Genomic DNA, 9,211 nt, shown 5'->3' on the forward strand with positions numbered 1-9,211 from the left:
GGGGGGGAAGGGATGGGGAGGGGGAGGAGGAGGGAGAGGGAGAGGGAGAGAAAGAGGAGGACCCGCTGAGGGGAGGGGGCGAGGGAGAGCGGTTGCCGGGGGAGAGGGGGAGGGGAGAGGACAGAGCCTGTAATGGGGTCCTGGCCCGGGAGAGGAGGAGCTACGCGCAGAGGGAAGGGTTCAGGGGTGCCCCCTCCCTTCGTTCGGGGGGCCCCACAGGCACCGTTTACACCGGGGCGGGGGAGGGGGGAAACAGCACTGGGGGGAGGGGTCTCGTGGTGGCCGCGAAGAAACAATGGGGAGAAGGCCGAGGTAGGAGGATCGCGCACTCACACCCACGCGGAGGGAAGGGAGCGCGCGAGAGACACTCGTTAGCTCGCGAGGAGGGGGCGGGCCGCTGGCAGAGGGGAGGAGGGAGCCACCCGGGGCTCGCGGGCAGGGGCGGGGCCGCCGAGCGGAGGTCGCGAGGTCCCGCAGCCCGCCTGGGCGCCGCGGGTTAGCCGCGCTGATTCGCCCGCTTGCCGGAGTGGGTGGGGGTGGCGGGCGCCCCAGTGCTGCCCCAGTCTGGTTCCTAGTCTCTGCCGAGGCCCCCGAGCTGGAAGCCGAGCCCGAGGGCCGCCTCGGCGCCTCGCTCCCAAGGCTGCTCCCCCTGGGGAGGAAGGCCGGCCTGGAATGGGTACCCTCTGGCCTGGCACTCGGACTGGGCGTGGCCCGAGCCTCGGCGGACCCTCGGAAGCCCAAGCGGGCTTCGGAGCAACGGTAGGGAGCGGGGCAGAGGAAGCCGCCAGGGTCGACCCCCACCCACTCACCACGGCCTCCAGCCCACCGCAGCTGGACCTTTTTTCCTTTGAAAAGGCAGGCAGTTCAGGAATGAAGGAGCTCGAAGAGAAATCTCTGGAGCACTCCATCTCCCACCCCCAAAAGAGGTTTTAGAAATCATTTCTTTAGCTGCAGGCGGGCATAAAACCATCTACCATCAATGGGCCCCCTCATCCCCTTGCTTTTAACGTATTACATTCCTCTACATAATTATTTAAAGTCACGGGCGGAACGGACTTAAGGTTTTGTTAGTTTTGTTTTTTGTTGTTTTTTTTTAAGACCCCAGCCTCAGAGATTATTTAGCCAATCTCTGACCTCAAAGCTGGACAAAGCACACAACCTCTGTGCTCTGTGCCCAGTCCTTTGAGTTTGACACATGCTAGGCAGGAAAAAGGTATGAAAAGAGTGGACGTAGAGGTGAAGGGAAGATGTTAAATCTTAAGTATTTACAAGATAGTGCCTTATAAATTTTCTTATAATGTGACTCAGGCTGGGACTGGTTAGAGGTCACAGAGGGACGCTCCACTTCACGATAGCCCTGTGAGTTACGTACTGTTGCTCTCATTTACGGATGAAAAAACTAGGGTTCAGAGTTAGTGCATTTTACCCCAATCTGGCTGATGCTACAAGGCCCAGGTATAATGGATAGAGGACTGGATTTCAAGTCAAAAGAGCCCTACCTGGTTTTGGCGTTTATCAACATGATGCCTTTGAGCAAATGTACCCTCTTGAGTTTCCTCATCTGCAAATTCTTAATCTGTATCCCTGCTTCGCTTGACTAGCCTGGAAACAAAGAAAAAATCCCTACTTCACCCGGCTGAAAGCCTAAAGCCTATAGAGACACTAAGAAGATACCGACATGCCCTTCAATTCAGTGATAGCAGTGTCCTTAGAACAAGTTCAATTGAGTAAACATTTCCTAATTACTTAAGAGCAAAGCGTTGTTAGGTGCCTAGGGAAACAAAGACAAATCATTGCTTCCTGTCTCCAAAAAGTTCCCCATTGAGCAAGCAGGTGAGCTACAATAAAAGCAACAGGTCTTATTAACAAAGGGCTGGGCAAATCCAGAGGAGAGTGTGATAAATTCCACTTTGGTGAGACTTCCGTGGAAGAACTAAAAGCTGGACCTTGAAGATCTGTCTGCTGTGTGCCAGACACATGTCTGTGATTCAGAGGGCAGCATTGACTCTGGAGTGTGCAGAAGATAATGAATCTGGAAAAGAAAACTGGGGCCAGACTGAAAATTTCAGTGCCTCTCTGCCCTTATCCCCTCCAGATACTCTCTTCTACTACCTTGCTTATTCCCCAAGACCCAGCTCAACCTCTACCTTCTTTATTAAATCTTCCTGATTACCACCCCTCCTCTGCACTCCACTGAATGTGATCCCTCTATTCTCTGAATTCCGTGACCCCAATAGATTGTACACTTCAGCACAGATACTTACAAGGTATTCCTTCTGATACCTACATAGTTGTCGAGTTGAAAATTTTGACAACTATAATTTTATCATCACAGCTAGAGCAAGTATGGTTCTGACACAAAGAATAAGGAAATTTATGGAGTATAAGGTTTAATTCATGCCCAGGGTCATACAGTAAGTCACAGGCTGGACTAGAATACCAGCCCTGTATTCTTCCCATTGAACCACAGGTTTTTGAGATATAAAATGGTAAATGTCTGATTTCTATGTAAAAATCCTCTGAGGACTTAAACTTTCAAGGGAAATCTCATGATTGTGGTTAAGCCTCCAGTCTGGAAGTTCTGAAAACTTAGTTTCATCCAAACCCAGGTGAAAATAACTTGCAGTAAAAATCTTATTTCATTGTATCTCATGAGGAATATAATTACTCAGTGGATCAATATTCATATTCTGTTGTCTTCCTAGGTGAATAAGAAAACTTAGTAAAAAACTAATAATATTGAATGAAAAGGTGACTTGGTAAGTAAAATTATAACAAGAAAGGTGCCTAGTCCCAGCACTTTGGGAGGCCGAGGTGGGCAGATCACTTGAGGTCAGGAGTTCAAGACCAGCCTGGGCAACATGGTGAAACCCCATCTCTACTAAAAATACAAAAATTAGCCAGGCATGGTGGTGGGTGCCTGTAATCCCAGCTACTCAGGAGGTTGAGGCAGGAGAATCGCTTGAACCCGGGAGGCAGAGGTTGCAGTGAGCCGAGATCATGCCTCTGCACTCCAGTCTGGGTGACAGAACAGGACTCCATTTCAAGAAAAAAGAAAGGTGCCTAAGTCTGTTCAAACCAAGTTTTGCTGTTTGATCATAAAGGGCCCTGTATGCCACTGGAAAAAAAGCAGGCTTTATATTATAGTTATTGGGGAATCACTGATCACTTGTAAGCAGAGATAAATACAATCAGACCTGCTAAGCTGTTTCTCTGAGCCCCATTTTTTTTTTTCCTGTGTACTTGATTTCTCCAAGGAGAGAGACTATAGGCCCTGGGTGATAATGATCTCTAGTGAAAAACAGTGCATCACCCCCATGATGTGGTCCTAACCAAGTCTCCTTTACCTTTGTATTTTCAGCACCCAGCATAATCCTGACACATATAGAAAGCACTCAGAAATTGCTTGTTGACACTCTAAATTGTCTATAAAGCATAAGATATGGTCAGTGTCTAAAATTTTTGTGATTCTTGCAAAGATCATGACAATACCAAAGCTCTTGAGGTGTGTGCTCACCTCAAGATAGTGTAAAGGATTTACTTCTCTTTGTCTGTTTGCATTCTTAAAAGTCAATGAGATGAAAATGTGTAAAAATGCCTATTTCATAGTAAATGTTCCACACAAATGAATTCCCTTTCTTCTTAAAATTTAGTTTCTTCTCATCTGCCCCATTTGGATTTCATGTGCCCTTAGACTCACACTAGCACATGTGTGTACTTTCTACCTGTTGATTCCATTTCATCTGTCCTGAGGATTCTATGCGTGGAATTTTAAACTACAGCCACACCCTGCAGCTTACTTCATTGAAACATTAGAAACAGTCAGTTTTTCTTAAGGTGGCATTTTTTTAAGTGAATAAGATTTTAGAATTTAAAAGGACATTAGCGTTCATAAAGTTAGAGATATCAAGAACATATATACATGGCAGAAGATGATGCTATAAAGTTAGACTAGGACCGCATCATTGTTAAAAAAGCAAGTTTTTATTCTGAAGTTAATGGGCAATCATGGAACATCTGTAAACAAGGAGAGAGATGTTCAGACTTGCCTTATACAGCAGGTGTTCGTCTGACTTCTGTTTGTACATTCATAGCTATAGAGAGCTCATTCCTTACCAAATCTGCCTGTTCCAGGAAAAAGAAGTACTTCCTCAACAGAGCTGGACTTTTCCTTCTGTGATACATATTTGTTGGTAATCCTGACCTTAGGAATAACATCAGCCTTCTTTATACATAAAAATGAGGGAGCCAGGCATGATGGCTCACACCTGTAATCCCAGCAATTTGGGAGGCTGAGGCAAGAGGATCAAGGCCAGGAGCTTGAGACCAGCCTGGGCAACATGGTGAGACCCCATCTTCAAAAAAATAAAATTTGGCTGGGCACCATGGCTCACACCTGTAATCACAGCACTTTGGGAGGCCAAAGCAGTTGGATCACTTGGCAATCAGGAGTTCGAGACCAGCCTGGCAAACATGGTTAAAATTCCATCTCTACTAAAAAATACAGAAGTTAGCTGGGCATAGCACACGACTGTAGTCCCAGCTACTCAGGAGGCTGAGACAGGAGAATCACTTGAACCTGGGAGGTGGAGGTTGCAGTGGTCCAAGATCATGCCACTGCCCTCCAGCCTGGATGACAGAGGGAGACTCTGTCTCAAAAAATAAATTAATTAAATTAAATTAAAAATTTAACCAGGAATGGTGGTGCATGTTTGTAGTCCTAGCTACTTGAGAGACCGAGTTGGGAGAATCACTTGAGCCCGGGGGTGGAGGCTTCAGTGAGTTATGAATGTGCCTCTGCACTCCAGGCTGGGTGACAGAGTGAGACCCTGACTCTTAAATGTAAAAAGAAAGAAAAGGGTGTGAACCAGATAAACTAGGGCAGGAAAGGAGTCTAAAAATCCGTAATTCTTTTTTATTTTATTTTATTTTTTTGAGACAGAATCTCACTCTGTTGCCTAGGCTGGAGTGCAGTGGCATGATCTTGGCTCACTGCAACCTCTGCCTCCCGGGTTCAAGCGGTTCTCCTGCCTCAGTCTCCCGAGTAGCTGGGACTACAGGTGCACGCCACCACGCCCAGCTAATTTTTGTATTTTTAGTAGAGACAGGCTTTCACCATGTTGGCCAGGCTGGTCTCAAACTCTTGACCTTAGGTGATCTGCCCACCTCAGCCTCCCAAAGTGCTGGGATTACAGGTATAAGCCACTCCACCCGGCCAATTCTTTTTTATTTTTTTTGAGACAGGATCTCACTCTGTCACCCAAACTGGAGTGCAGTGGGATGATCACAGTTTATTACACCCTTGACCTCCTGGGCTCAAGCCATCCTCCTACCTCAGCCCCCCGAGTGGCTGGGACTACAGGCACACACCACCATGCCTGGCTAATTTTTTATTTTTTATAGAGGTGGGGGTCTCACCATGTTGCCCAGGCCGGTCTCAAACCCCCTTTAAGTCAGCTAATTTACCGCCCCCCCCCCAAGTCAAATCTCTCTCCTTTTTCTTTGAAACAAAAATGAGATCCAACTCCATTCTAAACAATCTCCCTCTGACCAATTCAAATGTATTAGAACAGTCTACACTCTGATGCACCTTTGTGCCCTACAAAATGTAATGCCCTCTCTCCAGAAATAAATCCTCACATATATGGTCAAATGATTTTCAGCAAGGATGCCAAGACCATTCAATGGATAAGAGACAGTCTTTTCAGTAAATGGTGCTGGGAGAATGGAATACCCAGATGCAAAAGAATGAACTTGGGCCCTGACCTTAGACGATATACAGAAATTAACTCAAATGGATCATAAGACCTAAAACTATAAAACTCTTACAATAAAACATAGGGCAAGAGCTTCACAACATTGGATTTGGCAATGATTTCTTGGATATGACACCAAAGGCACAGGCAACAAAAGAAAAACTGTATGAAAATGTAAAACATTTGTTTGTCAAAAGACACTATCAGAACTGGGGGCACTGGTATACACCTGTAGTCACCGCTACTCAAGAGGCTGAGTTGAGAGGACTCCTGGCTTGAGTCCAGGAATCAGACTGGGCAACAGAGCAAGAGTCAGGAAGGGAGAGAAGGGAAAGAAGAAAAGAAAAAACAAAGATATGATCAACGGAGTAAAAAGGCAACCTGCAAGATGGGAGAAAATATTTGTAACTCAGCAACCAAAAAAAATTGAAAAATGTGTAAATAACTTGAACAGATATTTCTCCAAAGAAGATATATCATCACTAATCATAAAGGAAATGTAAGTCAAAACTACAATGAGATCCCACTTCACACCCATTAGGATGGCTATTAAAACAAAAAGTTGAATACCAGCCTGGGCAAGATAGGGAGACCCCGTCTCTACCAAAACACAGAAAATAACAAGAGTTGTTATGAATGTGGAGAAATTGGAACCTTTGTACCCTCATGGTGGAAATGTAAAATGATACAGTCACTGTGGAAAACAGTATAGTGGTTCCTCTAAAAATTAAAAATAGAATTACCGGCTGGGTGTGGTGGCTCACACCTGTAATCCCAGCATTTTGAGAGGACGAAACAGGCAGGCAGATCACTTGAGGTCAGGAGTTTGAGACCAGCCTGGCCAACATGGTGAAACCCTGTCTCTACTAATAATACAAAAATTAGCCAGGTGTGTGGCATGTGACTGTAGTCCCAGCTACTTGGGAGGGTGGGGCATGAGAATCACTTGAACCTGGGAGGTGGAGGATGCAGTGAGCTGAGATTGCACCACTGCACTCCAGCCTGGGCAAAAAAAAAAAAAAAAAAGACTTACCATGGGATCCAGCAGTTTCACTTCTGGGTGTGTACCCAAGATAATTGAAAGCATGGTCTCAAAGAGATATGTGTACATCCGTGTTCACAGGAGAATTATTCACAATAGCTAAAATGTGGAAACAATCCCAAGTGTCCATTGGTGTATGAATGGATAAACAAAATGTGGTATATCCATACAATGGAATGTTATTCAGCCTTAAAAAGGAAGGAAATTCTGCAATATACCACAACATGGATGAACATTGGGGATGTTACGGTAAGTGAAATAAGCCAATCACAAAAAGACATATACTGTATGATTCCACTTTTATGAGGTGATTAGAGTAGTCAAAATCATAGACACAGAAAGTAGGATGGTAGTTGCCAGAGGCTGTAGGGAGGGGAAGACTAGGGAGTTATCATTTAATTGGCATAGAGTTTCAGTTTTATCAGATGAAGAAAGTGGGCTGGGTGCAGTGGCTCATGCCTATAATCCCAGCACTTTGGGAGGCTGACGCAGGTGGGTCTCTTGAGGCCAGGAGTTCAAGACCAGTCTGGGCAACATAGTAAGACCCCATCTCTACAAAAAATTTTTTTAAATAAGCCAGTCACGCTGGCGTGCACCTGTAGCCCCAGCTACTCGGGAGGCTGAGGCACATGGATCCCCTGAGCCCAGGAGTTGGGGCTGCAGTAAGCTCTGATTGTGCCACTGTCCTCCAGCCTGTATGACAGAGCAAGACCCTGCTTCTAAAAAAAAATCATTTAAAAAATCCTGGAGATGGATGATGGTGATGGTTGCACAACAATATGGATATACTTGACGTCATTGAACTGTACACTTTAAAATGATTAATATAGTAATTTTTTTTTTGAGACAGAGTTACACTCTTGTCACCTAAGCTGGAGTGCAGTGGCGTGATCTCAGCTCACTGCAACCTCCGCCTCCTGGGTTCAAGTGATTCTCCTGCCTAAGTAGCTGGGATTACAGGCACGTGACACTACACCCGGCTAATTTTGTATTTTTAGCAGAGATGGGGTTTCACCATGTTGGCCAGGCTGGTCTTGAACTCCTGACCTCAGGTGATCCGCCTACCTTGGCCTCTCAAAGTGCTGGGATTATAGGCATTAGCCACTGCACCCGGCCAACGTAGTAAATTTTATGTTATGTGTATTTCTACCACTTTTTTTTTGAGGCAGGGTATTGCTGTGTCATCCAGACAGAGGCACAATCACAGCACATTGTAGCCTTGATCTCCCAGCCTCCAGCCATCTTCTCTCCTCAATTTTTTAATTTTTTGGATAGGAGACAAGGTCTCACTATATTGCCCAAGTTGGTCTTGAACTTCTGGGCTCAAGCAATCCTCTGGCCTCTGCCTCCCAAAGTGCTGGGATTATAGGCATGAGCCACTGCACCTGGCCCTTACCACAATTTTTTAAATTAGAGGAAAATGTTATGCAGTCTGATGAGTTCTGGAGCTACAAAGTTCTATCCCATCAAGGATCTCTCAGAAATATAAACAGATAATAATATAACTGCCACAATAAGGATATGTATAAAGTATTATGAGTACACAAATAAGAGATAATTGATTTTGCCGGGGAGAGAATAACTTTAGTAGCTAAAGAATGATCAACAAAAATTTGGGGCCGGGTGCGATGGCTCATACCTGTAATCCCAGCACTTTGGGAGGCCAAGGCGGGCAGATCGCTTGAGTCCAGGAGTTCGAGACCAGCCTGGGCAACATGGCGAAACCCCATCTCTACTAAAAATACAGAAAATTAGCCAGGCACATAGTGGCATGTGCCTGTGGTCCCAGCTACTCAGGAGGCTGAGGTGGGAGGATCGTTTGAGCCCAGGAAGGACAGGCTGCAGTGAGCCAAGATGGTACCACTGGACTCCAGCCTGGGTGACAGAGTGAGACCCTGTCTCAAAAAAAAAAAAAAAGATAGTAAAAGACATTTGAGTCTTGAAGGGTGAGTGGACTTAGCCAGGTAGAGCAAACAGCATTCAAGACACAGAAGAGAAAAGGGGCAGGGCACAATTCAGGAACCTGCAGGTAGTTAGCATCTAGGGGTGGAGGGGCAAGGTATAGAAAATGGTACTGAGATGAGCGGGGCAAGATCATGAGGCCAGTAATACCATGCTAAGCACTTATGCTTAACTGGAAAGGTAGTCCTTCAAGGGTCTTACCCAGGATAATGATGTAGTTATATTTGGATATTTAAAATATGCTGTTTTCTTCTGGAGAGGAAACAGCAGTGTGTGGAAAAGAATAGAAGAGCCAAACTGAAAGCAGAGGAAACAGTAAGGGATTACTGCAGAAAATCAGGTGAGAGATTATATAAATAGGAGCAATAGGCCAGCACGGTGGCTCACACCTGTAATCCCAGCACTTTGGGAGGCCGAGGTGGGTGGATCACTTGAGGTCAGGAGTTGGAGA

At 45.6% G+C, this 9,211-nt stretch overlaps 1 protein-coding gene across 7 annotated transcripts in view, besides 3 other annotated features; it reads right to left on the minus strand.

Moving 5' to 3' along the window:
• Positions 1-364, minus strand: part of TUT4 (terminal uridylyl transferase 4) — a 130,189-nt gene extending 129,825 nt beyond the window's left edge. For all 7 annotated transcript variants that reach the window (XM_017000804.3, XM_047416324.1, XM_047416327.1 and 4 more), the window contains exon 1: positions 334-364. The gene's annotated coding sequence lies outside the window, so the exon portion shown is untranslated. The remainder of the gene's footprint in view (positions 1-333) is intronic.
• Positions 6-135: a silencer, noted in NCBI's record as "silent region_891". NCBI's record gives its function as "represses an Ori minimal core promoter by ATAC-STARR-seq in GM12878 lymphoblastoid cells {active_cell/tissue: GM12878}" and the evidence as "EXISTENCE:reporter gene assay evidence [ECO:0000049][PMID:35858748]".
• Positions 176-285: a silencer, noted in NCBI's record as "silent region_892". NCBI's record gives its function as "represses an Ori minimal core promoter by ATAC-STARR-seq in GM12878 lymphoblastoid cells {active_cell/tissue: GM12878}" and the evidence as "EXISTENCE:reporter gene assay evidence [ECO:0000049][PMID:35858748]".
• Positions 296-695: a silencer, noted in NCBI's record as "silent region_893". NCBI's record gives its function as "represses an Ori minimal core promoter by ATAC-STARR-seq in GM12878 lymphoblastoid cells {active_cell/tissue: GM12878}" and the evidence as "EXISTENCE:reporter gene assay evidence [ECO:0000049][PMID:35858748]".

This window comes from Homo sapiens, chromosome 1 (assembly GCF_000001405.40).
Source record: "Homo sapiens chromosome 1, GRCh38.p14 Primary Assembly".
Taxonomy (NCBI): domain Eukaryota; kingdom Metazoa; phylum Chordata; class Mammalia; order Primates; family Hominidae; genus Homo; species Homo sapiens.